Below are 19,188 nucleotides of genomic sequence, written 5' to 3' on the forward strand. Positions count from 1 at the left end.
AAGACTAAAATGTTAGACCTGAAATGATAAAAATTCTAGAAGAAACCCAATGATAAATGCTTCTGGACATTGGCCTGGGCAAATAATTCATGACCAAGATCTCAAAAGCAGATGTAGCAATAACAAAAATAGACAAATGGAACTTAATTAAACTAAAAAGTTCCTGAAAAGGAGCTTTTAATTAGCAGGTGAGCAGACAACCCATGAAATGAGAAAAATGTTTGTGAACTATACATGTGACAAAGAACTAATGTCTACAATATACAAGGAAATCAAACAACAAGAATAAAACAAGTAACCTCACTATAAAGCAGGCAAAGAATGAGAACAGATATTTTTCAAATAGAAGACAATGATTGCCAAGAAGCATGTAAAAAATGTTAAACATTGCCAATGATCAGAGAAATTCCAATTAAAAATCGCAATGAAGTACCATTTTATACCATTCATAATGGCTAATTATTAAAAAGCAGAAAAATGACAGATACTGGCAAGGATACAGAGAAAAGAGAACACTTATTCATTGTTCGAGGGAGTGTAAATTTCTACAACCTCTATGGCAAACAGTATAAAGATTTTTCAGAAAAACTAAAAATGGAATTTCCATTTGATCCTGCACTTCCTCTACTGGGTATCTACCCGAAGGAAAATAATTCATTACATAAAGAAGATACCCACACTCATATGTTTATTGCAGCACTATTCACAATAGCAACGATATGGAGTCAGTTTAAATTTATCAGTCAATGATTGGATAAAGAAAATGTACTATACATTTATTCCATGGAAAACTACTCAGCCATAAAGAATAAAATCATGTCTTTTGCAGCAACATGAATGCAACTGGAGGCCATTATTGTAAGTGAAATAATTCAGAAACAGAACATAAAGCACTACATTTTCTTACTTACAAGTGGGAGCTCAATAATGCATACACTTGGACATAGAGATTGGAAAAATAGACACTGGAGACTCACAAATATGGGAGGTTGGTAGAGGGGTTAGGAATGAGAAAATACCTAACTGGGAAAATGAGCACCGTTCAGATGATTGTTGCACAGAAGCCCACACTTCATCCCTATGCAACATGTCCCTGTAATGAAGCTACATTTATACCCTCTAGTGTATTAATAAAGAGAAAAAAACTGACTTTTTTTCAGTTTTGACAAGAGGGCAACTGACAAGAGGGCAGACTGAATAGACTTTATAATTTTCATAAATATTTATATTAGAAAAATAACTTTAATAAAAATAAAAAATAATATTGTATTTTTAAGAATGGTATAAAAAGATAATTTGATGAATTGGAATAGTTAGGACTTAGCACATACAATATGTTAAGCAAGATTCTAAGCCATTAGACATTTGTAGACAGAATATCTAACAGTATAAAATAAATAACACAAATATTCATTGGCAATGACAAATTGACATATTTTCAATCCTATTAGATGATATTAAAACCATTACAAAATTTACTGTTTTGTTTCATAATAAAAATCGTAATGTTAAATAATTTCATTTAAAAGTTTGACTAATTAGGCATATAGAGAAATGGGCAGTATGTTGACCAGTAAACAGGATACAAATTATTTTCGAAAAGCAAACAACATTTTTATATTTTATTTATTTATTTATTTTTCTGGTCGGAGGAGCTGCTTTATTGTCTGAGGACATAGTACGGTCCTCTCCCTGGGAGGTGGGGTCTTCCACCGGTCACCCGAGGCAGTGTTCCAGGAGGCTCCATGCAACTCACTGCTGGGCTCAGCTGGGGGCTGGGCCTTGGAGAAGGCGAACTGTGCAGGGAAGCAGTAGCTGTGGGTCCTCACCGCCCGCTCTGCTTTGCTGCACTGGGTCCCTGGTGCTCCTCGAAGTCCCACTGAGCCTGCGTCTCTATAGGACGGTGACCATCCAGCCCAGAATCTTCTAGTCAGAGCACAGTTTGACCAGGCCAGGCATTTCCGCTTCCTCTCCTTGGGCTGGACTTTGCACTTGGGTTTCTTCCAGTCCTTCTTCTGCCGCCTGTCTGCCAGAGCTTAAATTCCAGCCTCACAAATGTTCCAGCTAGAAAAGGCGTGTCCGCGGCGCCTCGCACACTGGTCTCTTGGAAGGCACGGGCGGGTGGATTCCTCCAGGGCCACCTGCAGGTCCGGGTGCTGGGCCCTGTGAGCTCGACCCCACCCCTGCCCCCCGAGCCCATCCACTGAGCCAACGGTATCCTCAGCCTTCACTTGCTTCCACCATCACACCGCCCTACAAAGCGGGTGTGCGCTCCTCAGCTCTCCCTGCATGCCAGGAGCCGCCTCCTCCCCTACCCTGGCCCTGGGGTCCATGCCCACAGAACGCTGGGCAGAGGTGAAGGAACTGGGAAATACCCCTTTCTCAAATGACTTTGGGGTCCGCCTGGTCTTCTCTACTCCCTCCCACCCTACCTGCACTGTTCCCTGGGGCCTGCAGTTTTAGCAAAGTTCCCTGCCCCCCACCCGTGTCAGGAAGCAGTCCTGATGCCCACTCCCACCCTTTCCCCTCTTCTGGCCCATTCTCTCTCCCCACTGGGTCACTGACAGGAATCCCTCTCCTCCCTGCTGTCCCTGGAGCCTGTCTGCTTTCCGCGCTCAGCCTCCTCCCTGACCGCTTCTCCCTCCTTATCCTGAATCTCCCGACTCCCGTGGGGTGGCCCCCCCACCCATCCCGGGGCCCAGGCAAAACCGACAAAATTATTTCAAATGGGAAGATCTGAATTCCACTGAAGTCATGACAACAGAAACCCTTGTGGTCATATTTTAAAGAATGATAGTAGCAACTATCCATGTAAAGTATAACTAGCCTTAAAAATACCCACCACTTTGCCAAAAACAACAACAAAACCATGTTATAGCTGAAAAACAAATTCAATAAACTTACAGGATACAATATTAACATGAAAATCAGTTGCATTTTTGTACAGTAACAACAAAGTATCTGAGAAAGGAATAAAGAAAACAATTCCATTTACAATATTATCAAATAGAATTAAATACTTAAGTCATTAAATAGAATGAGTTTAACGAAGAATAGTAAAGATCTGCATACTGAAAACTATAAAATGATGATAAAAAATTGAAGAATACAAAATGGAAAATATATCCTGTGTTCATCGATTCTAAAAATTAACATTGTTAAAATATCTATACTACATAAAGTTATCTACAGTTAAATAAATTTCTATCAAAATTTTAATGCCATTAAAATAAATGTAAAACAAACATTTGTAAAATTAGTATGGAGCCACAAAAGACCCCAAATAGCCAAATATTGAGAAGAATAAAAAGGCTGAAAGCCTCAAACTTCTTGATTTCAAACAATATTACAAAGCTATACTCATCAAGAAAGTATAGTACCTACATAGAAACAAATGGAATAGAATAGAGGACCCAGAAATAAATTCACACATATACAGTAAACTGATCCCACCAAATTAGGAAAAGATAGACACATCAAGAAATGGTGTTAGAAAAAACTAGCTATGCACACACAAAAAAGTAAAGCCTTCTCTTATCACAAAAATGAGTTTAAAATAAAGACATAAACATTAGAACTGAAATAATGAATCCTCTAAAAAAAAAAACAGGGAGAAAGCTCCTTGACACTGGTGGTGGCAACGATGTTTTGGCTTTGACAGAAAGAACACAAGCAACTAATGCAAAAATAAAAAAGTGGAGCTATATCAAAGTAAAAACTTTCTCCACAATAAAGAAAACAATCAACAAAATATAAAGACAATATATGGGATGGAAGAAAATATTTGTAAACCATATGTAGGATAAGATGTTGCTATCCAAAATATACATAACACTAGTCAATGTGGAAAAAAAAACTCACAGCAGAACAAAACAAAAACCAATTTCCTGATAAACTGGGCAAAATATCTGAATAGATGTTTTCCCAAAGACATACAAGTGGCCAGCAGGTATATAAAAAGATTCTCAACATTGCTAATTATCAAAGTAATGAAAATCAAAATCACAATGAGATATCACCTCATCGTGGTGTTAGCACAGCTATTATCAAAAATTCAAAATACAAAAAGTGTTAGGGTGCAGAGAAAGGAGAATATTTGTCCACCATTGCTGAACATGCTCACTGGTGCAGCCATTATAAACAAAAAAACAACACAAAAAAACAAACAAGAAAACCAGTAGGGAGGTTCCTTAAAATTTTTAAACTAGAAGTATCTTTAATCCCAATTTGGAGTATACAGCCAATAGACATAAAATTAGTATCACCAAGCGTACCTGCACTCCTCTGATACAAATAAATAGGTAAACTGTGAGAAAGAGATAATTTCAGCTTTAATAAAGAATGAAATTGTTTCATTTACAACAATGTTGATGAACCTTGAAGACATTATGCTAAGTGAAATAAGCGAAATACAGAAAGACAAATACTGCTTGATCTCATTTTAATGTGAAATCTTAAAGAAAGAAAGAAAAAGAAAGAAAGAAAGAAAAAATGAAACAGAGACTAGAATGGTAGTTACCATGGGCTAAGAATTGGGGAAAAGTGGGGAGATACCCATCGAAGGGTGCATACCTTCAGTTACATAATAAAAAACTTCTGGGGACCTTATGTGCAGAATGGTGACTATAGCTAATAATAACCTGTACTTGAAATTTGTTTACAAAAGTAGATCTCAGGTGCCCTCACCACATACACAGAAACGTATAAGGTAACTATGTGTGGGGATAGATATGTTAACCAGCTTGAGGTAATTTAAAGATATATACACATCTAAAAGCACTCTATTGTACACCCTAAACATACATACTTTTCAATATGTAAATCATAGCTCAATAAATGTGGCGAAAAAATTAAGAGTAATCAGTAGGTCATATTTAGCCACAGGTACACTTTATTTAAAACTCTCTTGTGAACTGTTTCTGGCTGAACCTGGGAACGCCCCCAGTACTTCTGACCCCTTGACTTCTCCAACACTACTTCTATTCTTCCTGTAGCTGGGGAAGATGTGATAGTTCCCAAGAGTTTTATGGTTTCCAGGCCATGCAGATCTGGGAGGGCCATCAGCCGTCCCCTTGCTCATTGCGCACAGCTCCAGGCAACCCATGTCAGGGCATCGCATCCCGGCGAGGGCCACAGCAGATAGCAGGGGCGAGGTAGCTCTTGGCTGCCTGCAATCCAATGGCCTCTGGCTCCACAGGCGTCCTTCAAGGCCCTACCACAGCCCCTCCTCTCATGACCAGTGAAGGCAATGTAACTGCAGAAGACACTGAGGAGGCAAGTAAGAAAAAATCTTGGCCCCCGTGTATTAATTATCATTAGATCACCCTTGTTGTATACAGGATCACTCTTTATCATTACTGCTGTAAAACCTGCTACAATTGGAAGAGAAAATGATCTGGAGCATACTCTTTGAATTCCTGAAGTTGCTGTCAGTAAGTTTCAGCAAAAATTTATTCTGACCATGATTTACAAAGTTATGTCCTTGTATATCAAGGCAGTCAAAATGAAACAATTGTTAATGGAAAACGGATTGTTCGGCTGACAACTAAATGTGAGCCTTATGTACCTAAGCATAGACATGAAATGAAAATTGGAGAGACTAGGTTACCCTTTCACATTCACCCTGGCAGTGATACTTGTGATGGCTGTGAACCACAGCAGGTTGGAACTCACTTTCACCTTGATAAGAGAGAGAATTGTTTATTGAATTAATTGTTTACAGCTAAGTAGGGGAAAAAAGAGTTGGAAATAAGAAAATAATTTTTAAAATGTGAGTAAAGTATGTTTTACATTATACAGACTATGAAGATGAATAGACATTGAAGAACCTGAAACATAAAGATACAGCTGGAAAAAGTAAGGAGCCTATTGGAAGTGAAGAACACTTCCAAAGAGTTGATGCACCTGCATCTGTTCATTCTGAAATTACTGACAGCAACAAAAGTCAGAAGATGTTTGAGGAGGTGGGTTGGAAAAAAGAAGAGGGCCTGGGGAAGGATGGTGGAGGAATGAAAACTCCAATTTTGCTTTAGCTTTAGCAGACACACGTAGGCTTGAGGACAGGCAATTCCTCCTCAATTGAAGATGTTCACCTTCTCCAAAACAAAAACAAACTGGGACAAAGCATGAGATAGGTTTTCTGAAAATTTCCCAGAAACTAAACCTTGAAAAGATGACCTAGGGACTAGGCCTTGGGTAAAAAGGGGCTGTCGAGTGAGGGTTAGTCATAGAAGAAAACTCAAGTTTTTTAAAAAATAGAGTTTGGAAACTCTTATTTATTTTATTTTATTTTTTGCAGAACTTTTCTCCCAAAAAGAGTCTGTGGCACAGTTTACCCCTTCCTGATTCAGAAATGTGTAATAAAGTTTGGTTTGCAACTTTTCAATGCCATTTTTTTAAACTAATAAATAGTGATTGAATCAAGTTATGCAGTAAGTGGACTAAAGTTTACAGGGCACAGATGAGTTTGTCAAACTTCATTATTTTATCGTGTCATTTATGACATCCATGTAAGCAAAAAGCCATATAAGCAAAATTCATATAACCACTAATGACTTAAATATACATTTGTCTTTGTCTCCATATATTCACAGTAAGACCCACAGCAAAAGAAATATCAAAAGTTTATAAAAATAAATCTGGCTATATGCATTCTTGTTTATGCCCTTTAGAACCTAGATAAAAGGACCTTTATAATAAAGGTCTAAATAATACCATTTAAAGCCTAAATAATACTATTTAGGCTAAATAAATAAATAAAGGTCCAAATAATACTATTTAAAGCCTAAATAATACTATCGAAGAACTAACGAACAGGTGACATACTATAGAAAAGTAGTCTTTTACTGTTTTCTTCTGTAAAGAATCTGTTGTTTTGTGCTATATATTCAGCATTTATATTTCATTTGTTTCATAGCTAATGAAATATTTAGATATGAACAACTGAGTACAGTACTGAAATAGTGCACTGGCATTTGTAATTTTTATAAATATTATTGCAGGCAGTGGAGTTGTGCCAGAGAAATCTGATTTCTAGTACAAAAGGAATACTTAGCTAGGGCCTGAAGTTTAAGATATTTATTGAACATGTCCTCAATTGCAATATAAACATTATAACATTTTTTAAAAATTCTTTTTAATACATTCTGAATTAAACAAAAATTTCAAATCATACCTTTTATGAAGTTAGGGAAGTGCTAATGAGGTAGAATGGCAGTTGAAGCCAAAACATCTGAATTTATGTAAATAATTTTACCCACATTAGTTTTTTGTTAAAGGAAACAATAATTCTCACCATATACTATTTACTGCAGTGAAGTATTTCAGAAACGTGTGCATAATACATAATTAATTTTCTAATGGTAATACATTCTACAAATTATTACAATTGTGGTTTCTTGAAGAGAGCAGTATTTCAAATGAAGAAACTTGGAATTTCTCATGAGGGGATGATCATGAGGATGATCATGAGGGGATGTCAAATCCATGTGGGTTGTTCAGTTTCTAACAAGACAAATGGAATAAACATAGATGAACTGACTGCAGGCATCCCCAGTGTGCTGTCTTCCATATGTGAGAACAAAATTATAAATTATGTTACACAAAAGGAGATAAGTTACTAGTGTGAAGCGTTAGATAAATTATATGGCACATAAAACTGAGATATGAGGTTTGTATTTACATGATTGACAATATAATAAAAAAAGAAACAAAAATAATGTGGAAAAGAACTACGAGATTGTAAAATCATATTTGGAAAAGAGGCAAATGGAAAGTAAACTATTGAAAATGTAGTAAAACTACTGTACAGCATACAAATTACACATTAAAATAGGCTGAGCTGATGAGAGGACTAATAAACTGAAACGCTGAGCACAATTAATGTAGTCATATACTTTTTAGAAGGCAAATTAATACAAAATACAAATATATTTATTTATATATGAAGATTAGCTGGGAAGAAATGAAAAATAATTTGTTTTACTAGACTATATAAACAGGAAGGTAATATTCAAAAAATCAGTGACTCATAAGTTTCAGAAATTGGAAACACATGAATCCTATCAAAGAAATAATGGTTTTGGTTATTGTGAATACTGCTTCAATAAACATGGGAGTGCAATTGTCTCTTTGACATACTGATTTTATTTCCTTTTGATATATACCCAGTGGTGAGATTGCTGGGTCGTATATATGGTAGTTCTATTTATAATGTCTTGAAAAATTTCCATGCTGCTTTTCCTACCTGGCCGGGGCTCCGACAGCTGGGCATCCGGCCGCAGTCCCTCTCTCAGGATCCCTCCACCCTCCGCCTCCCAACAGTTCGGGCTTTTGTGTACGCTGTGGCTGCTGCTTCTGCTGCCGAAGCTTGGCATTGGAGACACCTCGTCCTCCTCTCAGGACAGATCCATGAACCCATCGGCAGCGGCGGTGAGCGATGCCTTCCCTCTGCCACAAGGCGCCGCCTGCAGAGCCTGCCGCGTCCGCCACGCCCAGAGCGTACCCGCAGCTCAGCGCCGAGTTACTCCTGCTGGCGGTGGCCAGGGAGTGACTGGAGTCGCCGGACACCCCTGGGGAGCAGGCGAAGGAGGAGCTGCAGCCACCACGTCCTCTCTTTCCCCAGGGATGTGCAGAATTACCATGAAATTATGACTCCTCATCCTAAGAATTACCAATGGGAAAATTGGAGTCTAGAAAATGTTGCCATCATTTTAGCCCACCGGTTCCCCAATAGCTGTATTTAGGTGATAAAGTGCTCTCGAATGCATTGCACAGACTCAGTTGCCATGACGATTTTGTGAAAAGTAACATGTTTGGTTCCCCAGAACACAATACTGACTCTGGAGCTTTTAAGCACCTTTGTATTATTAGTTAATGCTTTTAAGTCATAATAGTTTATCAAAGAAAAATTTGAACGGTTGGAATAAGGACTCCACGCATGTAATTGCAGTCCAGTTTCCTGATATTACAAATCGTTTCCAGGGAGAAAAAGAGAGGACCTGTGAAAAACCTGATGAGTTGGCTATGAGTTTTTATCCACCATCACTAAATGATGCATCTTTTAATTTGACTGGATTCAATAAAGATTGTGTTGTTTTGAATCAGTTTCTTTTTGAATTGAAAGAAGCCAAGAAACGCAAAGACATAGATACTTCCATTAAAAGCATAAGAACAATATATTGGCTGGAGGGTGGTCATTCCGTAGGAAGTAATACCTGGGTTACTTATCCACAAGTCTTGAAAGAATTTGTACAGTGAGAGATTATTGTTCACACCCATGTAACACTTCACCAAGTACATGATCCAAAGAGATCTTGGATTGGAAAAGAGCAAAATAAATTTGCTTAGATACTTGGGGATATTGGTATGCAGGTGACTAGCTGAATTCATTTCATGAAGGAAGCTCCCTGTATAGAGAATCCCTTTAGAGTTCATGAAGTAGTTTGAGGCTACAAATATATTGATGTACTTGTTCAGTGGAAGAGCATAAGCACTTTGAGTGTTATGAATTCAGATAATGGAATGTAATTCATAGGTGCATTGTCAGTATGGGGGAAACACACGTTCCTGAAATATGAGTGAAATATGCAATAGTATTTCTTCCTTGGGAATGTGAGCAGTTTTTAATTTGTGTTGAGTTAGAATTAGTTAATTTAAAATCTAACAAGGTGGTTTGTGATAATACTGAGGAGATATAAGACCCTTAAAAGGAAAGTTACAACATAGTACTTCTAGAATATAACTAAAATTGTTTCTGTTGGAAATAGTGATTCTCTGAGTAATGTTACTAATCGTGGTGATATTTTAACAGTAATTAGCTATTTTGGCACTTAAAACTTGAATGGAAACAGTTTATTTCTCTTCAAACAAAAGCAAAGGCACAATGTTGTTTCCTATCATTTTGGAATAACTGTACCCTGCCTCTTGTGTTTTGTAAACTCATTCACTCATTCTTTAATGTGCCACCAAGTACTTTTTTCTTGAGAGTCAAAATATATTTGTTTCACAATGTCCAAAAATGTGCAAGAATGTAAAGCTGGTTTTTAAAAACATAGCCATGTGATGGCATGTGCCGTTAGTCCCAGCTACTCAGGAGGCTAAGGCAGAAGGATCCTTTGAGTCCAGGCTATAACGCACCATGATTGTGTTTGTGACTAGCTACTGCACTCCAGCCTAAGCAACATAGTGAGACCTCATCTCAAAAAAAAAAAAAAAGAAAAAGAAAAGAAGAAAAAAAAGAAAAACAGAACAAATTAGACTTAAGTACCATCACTTAATTTTTAGTTGACAGTCTTTAGTTGATTGTTTTGGATAAGACATTCTGGGGCTTCTTGAATCTTGGCCAAAAACCAGTTGTTTTTGAAAACTGTTTTAAATTAAGCATATTTATGTATTTTGGATAAAAATCAACTACAAAGAAAATTTTATTTTTTTCATTATATTAGTCTTTTTGAAAGAGAACAACTTAGGGAAGATAAATATATAATGCTCTATTTGTCAATGCTGTATTAAAAAGGAAACAGATTTCATAAATCTAAATCAATGTTTCTCCACAATCATGACTTTGTCTCAAAAAAAAAGTTATTTTTGGCCAAAATGCAAAATTATATTGCTGTGACAAAAGTCACAAGGAATCGCTTAAACATCATCCAGCCTGAGGCCAGATCAACATATGACAGTCACAATTTCAACTCTGAACTGCATCCATGTGTGAGATTTAGAGTCTCATTAGTGGACTCTGCCCATGTATGAGGTTGACAATCCTAATTGTTTTCTACATGTGTCTATGAGTGTCACAAGGTCACTGTTTGCTGGGCCCTGTTATGTAACTCTCTCTAAACCCCAAGGGGTTTATAAAATACATGTGAGTGTCATAATCTTCTGTGGCCATTTTAGAATTAGTAGACCAAGGACCTTAGTTGTTGCCGTAAGCCTAGCTATTAAAGTCAAAATTACTCCTCCTGGCTGGGTCCATGTAAGAAAGCTATCATCATGACTGTGGCCTGGGCCTAGGTATACGTCACACCCCACCTGTGAGCAGAAACAGGGAGGAAAACCACATCATCTGAATGCTGGGACAGGGAAATGTCAATATTGCTCAATTGGTAGGACCCACACAGGAAAGTCACATCACCTTTGTGCTAGGCTCAGTGATATGTCACAATGCCCACTGTAGACAGAACCTTGTCAAAAGAGTCATATCACCTAGGTGCTGAGCCCAGCAATATGTCACAATCCCCCTTGTTAACAGGGCCCAGTCATGAGAGGAGAGTCCTATCACCTAGATGATATGCCCAGATTTCTGTTACAAACCTTACTGGAGGCAGGGCACAGGCAGGAAAGTAGAGTATCATCACTCAGGTGATGGGCTCACAGGCACATTACAATGTCCCTTGTGGGTATGATCCAGACAGGACAGTCACATCAGCTCAGTGTTTGGGTCAGTTGTATGTAATAATCCCAACTGTTGGCAGGGCTCATGCAAGGGAGTAAAGTCAATCAAGTGGTGAGAAAAAAATTGTATTTCAAAGTCACACCTACAGGAAAGTCCAGGGATGAGATTCACAGTCCCACACATTTTCTGACTCCTAGGATAAGAGACAACAGCTTCTTTGAATTTTGTTAAAGTACACAAATCACAATCTCAATGGTGGACAGAATTCATGCATGAAAGCTCCAAACACACCTGCAAACACTGTCTAATTAGAGCAGCCACGATCTCACAGGTGTGCTGAATTTTGATATATAAGTCACCATTCTACCTGTGAACTGTATCCATGTATGAGAGTCACAATGTGAACTTTCAACTGATCTGGGTATGATATTCAGAACCTCAACAATGGTCTATGTCCCTATAGGAAGATGACATTCCTCTCTGTATGTCGTGTGTGCTTGGAAGAGTCAAAATGTCACCTGTGTGCTGGGCCTTTATTAGTCACCTTCTGTGCCACTTAATGGCTTCATATGGTCTGCATGAGAATGAAAACCTGCTCTAAGATTTCATGATGGCATAAACCCATGATCCTACATGTTGCCCTAAGTTGAGGCATGAGAGTCAAAACCTGTCTTATTTGCTGGCTCCATGTATGAGAGTCATCAGTGTGCCTGTGAACTGGGTTCAGAAATGAGCCACCATCCCATTTGTGGATGGATCCAGATATGACAGTCACAATTCCAACTGGGAAATGTTTCTGTAAGTGAGATCCAGGGCCTCGTGAGTGGGTTCTGTTCACATCTGTAATCTTTATACAATTAGGAGATGCAGAACCTTACTGATTGTTCTATGAGAGTAAAAATATCTTCTACTGGCTGGGCCCTCATATGAGAGTCTTCATTATTCCTGTGACCTGAACCTAGGGATATGTCACAATCTTACCTGTGAGTAGAACCAGGCAGGAGAGTCTCATCAGCTGAATACTGAGCCAGGGATATATTAGTGTTCCCCCTGTGGTTGAGTGCTGGTAGGATATTCACATCACTATGGTGCTGGGACAAGTGATGTGTCACAATGTCCCCTGTGGGCAGAACCCAGGCTAAGCATTACATCACACGAGTGCTGGGCTCATCAATATGTCACAATACCCTTTGGGAATGGGGCCCAGGCAGGAGAGTACAATAACATCATCTGGAAATGGGATGAAAGGAATATCACAAAGCCACCTGTGAGAAGGGACTAGGCAGGAGGGCTGCATTACTGAGGTTATTGGCTTAGGATATGTCACAATCCAAACTGTGGGCTTTATAGAGACAATATATTCAAATCAGTTAATTTCTGGCTGGACAAAAGTATATGTCAGTCACACATGTGGGAAGGTCTAGGAATAAAAGTTACATTCCTGCAGATGTTCTGGGTCCAGGTATAAAAGTATGCACCTCATAAACTTTTACACACCTCATTTGCCCAAGTTTGCAAGTCATGATATCAACAGTAAATTGGATCCATACATGAAAGACTCAACCTCAAACAACACACATTAGAAGAGTTAGAGCCTAACATATTTGCTGAATCTTAGTCAGAGACTCATCATCTCACCTGAAGGCTGGACCCACATATAAGAGTAATAATACCACCTTTGGACTGCCTTTGGGTGTGAAATTCAGAAATTCAATGGTGGGCTGTGTCCATGTGGGAGTGTGAAAAACTTTACTGTCAGGAGTGTATGCAATGAGAGTCAAACCTTCAACACTGTACTGGGCCTTGTTTTATTATTCTTTGCACCATCTGTGGGTTTTTATACTACGTGTGAGACTTGCAATCCACTCTGAAGCATTTGTCCTTGTATAAACCCATGATCTTACTGTTAGCTAAGTGTGCAGACAAGAGTCACAATTTTGTTTGTGTTATGGACCCTGTTATGAAACTCTCTTTACCACCTGAGAGCAATGTGCAATATGCTTGAGTGTTGTAGGGCTCTGTGACTTTTGTACAATTAAGAAACCCAGAACACTACCTGTTGCCCTAAGCCTAGTTACTAAAGCAAACATCTATTTTATTGGCTGGGTCCAGGTATGAGAGTCATTACTGGACCTGTGAGCTGGGTCCAGAAATGAGTCACCATACCACCTGTGGCCAGATTTACATATAGCAGTCACAATTCCAACTGTGGACTTCATCTGCATGTGAGATTCAGGAGCTCACCACTGGGCTCCCTTCATGCATGAGGGTGACAATTCTAAATTTCAGCAGGATGTGGCTACAAGAGTCACAACATCACCTGTGCTCTGGTTTGTATTATGAAACTCTCTGTACCACCCAAAGGCTTCATAATATACGTGTGTGTGTCAGAATCTCCTGTAACGTTTTACAAGTAGGAGACTCAGGACCTTACCCTTTGCCCTAAATCTATCTATAAGAGTCAAAATATCTTCTATCAGATGGATCCACATCTGAAAGGCATCATGATTCCTGTGTGCTGGGCCTAGTAAAGGTCACAATCTTAGCTGTGGGTGAACAGAAGGCAAGAGAGTCACATCACCTGGGTGACGGGCAAGAGATATATTACAATCCCTTCTGTTGACAGGTCCCAAACAAGGAGTTACATCACCTGGATGCTTGGCTCTGTGATATGTCACATTGCCCAGTGCAGGCAGGGCACAGGCAGGAGAGTCACATTACCTGGGTGCTTGGCCCAGTGCTATGTCACATTCCCTTACTTAGGGAGGGCACAGGTAGCTAAAGGGAGTCATATTACCTAGGTACTGGGCTAGAGCTATCAGTCTGTTGGTCATTCAGGGTGAGGGTTATGATCTCTTTAGACATCCATGTAACAGAGCCCCAACTCGTTCATCCTCAGAAGCAAAGGCCAGTGGAGACCAAATAAGGCTTGAAAGTTAAGTCCTCTAAAAAGGCAGAATGTCCTAGGCTTTGGCCTCTCCTCTTTAAGCACAACCAGATCATAACCTCTCTTTTGACTTCTCACTATGCCGCTCACTGGAACAAGGCTCCTGACTCCACACCCTCGTCTTTTCACCCCTGTACATTTATTGGGCAGACCAAAGACCCGGAGACCTGAACTCTGGGACAGTCTGGGGAGAAGCGAATCCAAAAAGGGTTGGGGCAGCAACGGCTGAGCTCCCACAGATGCCCCGGCCCAAAACTGCAGGCCCAGGCTGTGGTCCATGTGGCACTCAGTGCAGGTTCTGCAATGCCACTGGAAGGCCTAGAAAATCCACTTCAGCTGCTGCTTCTTCCTTTTCTTAAGCGCTGAAAGGTATACACTTTCCCAAGCTTTTCAGATACGGCCAGGCACCCCCAACTGAAAAGGGGGATAATCGCATTCTTCATCATGGTTTATCACCTCACCCAAGCACCAGCCAGCCCCAGCCTCGCCAATCCAGCTGCCCCAGGCTGGAGGAGATCCTGTCAAGCCTCCTCTCTGAAACTCCACTCCTCCTCTTTTTTTTCTTCCTCAACCACTGGCATACTTTTGGTCATCCTACTTTTCATCCCAATGGGGCACCTGATACCATAAAGACCTGGGAACCCCACTGATCACAGGTCCTACAGGGGTCAGGCAAACATACAGGAAGTCCAGAAGGACAGTCATCTGCCACCTCCAGTATGAGAAGAACAAAACCCCCGCACTCCATGAAGAAGTCAGGAACCCAGTGAAGGCTGCAGGTCCAGCCCACAACAACCTATGTATGTGGGGTGCTCCATGGCTCATACGTGTGTCCTGCAGGCTGGAGCCCAAGCGAGGGTTCGCAGTCTTTGTTCCAGATGGGGAACTACTACTTCAGCTTATTACCCAGGCTCCCTGATGGGGAAAGGAAGGAAATGGCGAGAATCTTCAGCACAGCAAATCCCATCGTCCTGGCAGAGACAACTCCTGCCTGCATGCCACACCAGCAGCCGCAGGCTAGAGGCAGTCACATCAGGCCTCCCTCTTACAACATTTTGTTTTGTTTTGTTTTTCGAAAGGCCCTAATCACCTACTTTCGGTCATCCTCCTTGTCACAATAGGGCACCTGACGCCATAGAGACTCGAGAAATGTACAGATCTGGGGTCCTGAAGCGTCCAGGCGAAGGTGCTGGGAGTCAGGGAGGAAAGTCCTTTGAAGCCTCCAGAAGCAATGTAACAAGACCCAGCACTGCAGGAAGAAGTGGGGCACCCAGTGGCAAATGCAGGCCTACGTGCAAGGTGCTCCCTGTCCCTCGCCTGCTCCCTGGAACCTGGAGCCGCACCTAGGATGGGGGGTCTCCATTCCAGACCCAGAATAAGCTCTTGGCTACCTCACCCAGCACCTGGTCATGCCAGACAGAATCTTGGCTGGGGCTTTCTCATGGTCTGCAGTGCCTTCCACTTTGGGCCACCGTAATAACACTTCTCCCACAGGGACTCTGCAGTGTCCGGCTCACCAGCCTGGAGTTTCTCATCACCCAGTGATTCCAAAAGAAACAATCTACAATGGCATGACCAAGTGCCAGAAACAAACAAACAAAATATCTGAGGTAAGTCCATTGGTTACTTCGATTTTTCAAAGGTAACATTTGTCCCTCCTTGAAATCCTAAGAGTGCATGAACAGGCTATTCTAATGGACGTGAAATTCACATTAAAACTGATTGACAGATGAATTCTGATTCCAAGGTACTTTGTATTCTCAAATTGCATCTGCTTACCCTGCCCCCCTCAAAATGGAAGAGTGATGACTATTTGTCATCTTAGCACTGTGGGGATGCAGAGCCTTAGATGGAAGTGTGTTAAAAACAACATTCCATAAAGGGCTGTCACTTCCAATTTTCAAGCAAGGTGGGAAACCAACCGTGATGTATGAAACACTGCTGGCCAATGTGCACAATTAGTGATACAAAATTGAATAATATAAACTATTGTAAATATGTGTGGACATTGTGGCAATTTGGACACCAAATAACACTGCCAAATTCAGGAAGAGAAAGCTGTAACCTCATGGTTGTTATGAAGCTTAACTTCTGGGTACTAGAACCTATCAAAATTTCTCCATGCCAATCTGTCCAAACAAACATTGAGATGTTTATTTCTATAAAATTCCTATAGAATCTTCCTGGGCATGACCCTTCTAGCCCCATCCTCACAGCACTGGTGCCAGAGGAACTGCACTTGCTCCTGCCTCCCCCTATATTTTTAGGAGTGGAAATATTTAGTGACAGGATGGATTGGGAGGGTACTGAGGCCTCCTGGGTGGGTGGGTCAGATCTACTGCAGCCCAAGCCTTTTTATAATAAATAACTTATAGGTAAATTAGAAAAGAATAAAAAATGGAACTCATTCTCTTTCTTTGCTCACCACAAAGAGAAACACAGCATCTAGAGATGCTGTTGGAGCCAGGCTTGTCCTGGGAAAGTAAGAAGTGCTTATCAGGAGCCCTGGGATTGAGGGCAGGTGAGATGGGTTCCCAGGAAGATACAGCCAGGGTCAGGTCTGGCCCACTCACACTGGAAGGGGCCTTCTGAAGGCCAGGAAAAATGGTCCAGGTCACTGAAACTCAAGCGGCCCATCTGAGCCAAAGATCTGTCCAGGTCGCAGTGAATCTCATCAGCACTGCCAATAGGGGGTCTGATCAGCCCTGAAGAGCTCCATCAATGGAGGCAGATGGCTGGTGGATGGGTCAGGAGAGCTGCCTACTGCCAATGTGGGAGTCCACTCGGTGTGGGTTTACTGCGCCTCTCAGTGGCCTGGATAACCTGCTGAGGCTGCAGCTTCTTCCCGTTTTTGAGCAAACGGGGACATGTATCATTCCCGAAGGTTTTCAGATAATCCCTGGTGACCCCTGGCAGGGGATGGTTATCTTGGCGATCCCCAGCCAGGCTTATTGACTTGCCCCCAGGCAACACCCAGCAATCCCGCGCCCACCCAGGCACTTAAGCATTTGTGGTAAGCCTCTTTCTGGAAGCTCGCCTTCTGCTTGCCCTTTGTCTTCCCCACCCCAGTACTTCTGGCCATTCTCATTGTCATCACAATGAGACAACTGGCTCCTGGAGACTCAGAAACTGCCATGCAGACCTTGAGTTTTTCCTAGGCCCGGCCAACAGGGTGGAGAATCTTCCATCTCCTAAAGGAGCAGAACAGACCAGGCATGTAGGAGTTGTGCCCCTGTGCAGGCTGCAGGAGCAGCTCACAACAAGGCCTGAACATGGGGTGCTCCCTTGTTTGTCCTTTTTTCCTGGAGGCTTGGGCTTGCCTGGCCAAGGTTGCCCTTCAGGACAGGGAATCAGAGCTTTTTGTGGCTGCCTTACCCAGCCAGGGCAGCACCAGAGAGAATCGTGGCTGAGGCTTTCCTGTGGGCTGCAGTGCCTGCCCCTTTAGGGTTTCCACAAAAACACCTTCCCTGCAAGTAATCCACTGTGTCCTGATTACCAGACGAGGCTTCCTCATCATTTGGTGATTCCAAAGAAAATAATCTACAGCGGAATGACCAAGTTCTAAAACAGGAGCACACAAATAATCTGTGGAAAGTCTGTTTGTCATCTAGATGTTTCGAATATACACATTTTCCCTTCTTGTTATATTCAGTCGTGCATGAAACTGATATTATAATAGATGTGCAATACACTAAAGCTGATTAAAGGGTGAATTCTTATTCTAAGGTACTTTGTGGTCTCAAATTTGTCTGTTCCCACCCCCAGGACTCCCTTAAAACAGAATAGTTATCACTGAGAGCAGAGGTAGAAAGAAACTAGCTAGGCAGATAGAGCAAAGAGTACTCAGCGTAACATCCCTTCTAATGAAAAGCAGCCCAAAAAATCACATCTCTTTAACAAAGAGCAACCTGTAAGTTCGGGCTGCAATCATAGATAAGTAAGATGGAAGCTTGTATGGGCAGGGATGGCTGCAGCTTCATGGATAGAAATGTCCAGCTTGGGCTAGATACATCCAACATGGGGGCTCCACTCCTCTTTGTAGCACACGCACCATAGGAAAGAGATAAGCAACTTGGAGTAGCTCAAAAGTCACGGAGCCTCAGTGTCCCTTCTGTGGAGCCCAGAACCTGATGCAGGTCTAAGTCCTGTTGTATGAACATGTCCTGACCCTGGCGGCCCTGGTGGTGGTGCAGCATAGGAAGTATAAGGGATGAGGTCTAGTCATGGGCCATGGAGCCTTTCTCATTAATCTTGGCTGTCTGCCTTCTAGGGAATATAATCAACACTAATAAAGGAGGAAGGTGAGCAGCTGGCGCTGTCGCTTTGAGGGAGGATGGCGATGTGAAAGTCAGTGACCACCGTGGGGAGGACACTCCCTGGCTCCATCCTCTGCATCTTAGATTTATTGGGACAGTTTGATACACAGAGAAGGAGGAGACCCATCCCAATGGAGGGTTTGATTAGATGAATATAATCAATGATAAATTCCTAGAGGAGGGACTTTTTATAATCAACTCTGAGAACAGGTTGGAGCTACATGGGATTGGAGGGGAGGGTGGAGCCCCTTAAAAGAAAAGCCCCAGAGACTGCCCCTGCCCTCTCTCTCCCCCACAAGTTCCATTTATTATCTTCCACCCAGGAGCTGTCAGAATCCTGCCCTTCCGTCTCCAGATCAAAGTCCTTCAGGAAATGCAACTACTTCAGTGACAAGAGATAATTATCATCTTCTGACAGAGGAGGAATTTGGGGTTTGGTCCCAGTCCATGAAGTGGCACAGTCAGAATAAAAGGTGAGAGCTTAGGAGATTAGCGGAGGGTAGAAGAACACTCTGTCTTGTGACCAGCTT

At 41.4% G+C, this 19,188-nt stretch overlaps 3 pseudogenes; 2 read left to right on the top strand and 1 right to left on the bottom strand.

Moving 5' to 3' along the window:
- Nucleotides 1,766-2,225, bottom strand: RARRES2P10 (retinoic acid receptor responder 2 pseudogene 10; annotated as a pseudogene).
- AGGF1P6 (angiogenic factor with G-patch and FHA domains 1 pseudogene 6) lies at nucleotides 5,232-6,380 on the top strand (annotated as a pseudogene).
- Nucleotides 8,323-10,220, top strand: C2orf69P2 (chromosome 2 open reading frame 69 pseudogene 2; annotated as a pseudogene).

The sequence above is a fragment of the Homo sapiens genome, chromosome 16, assembly GCF_000001405.40.
Source record: "Homo sapiens chromosome 16, GRCh38.p14 Primary Assembly".
In the NCBI taxonomy this organism is placed as follows: domain Eukaryota; kingdom Metazoa; phylum Chordata; class Mammalia; order Primates; family Hominidae; genus Homo; species Homo sapiens.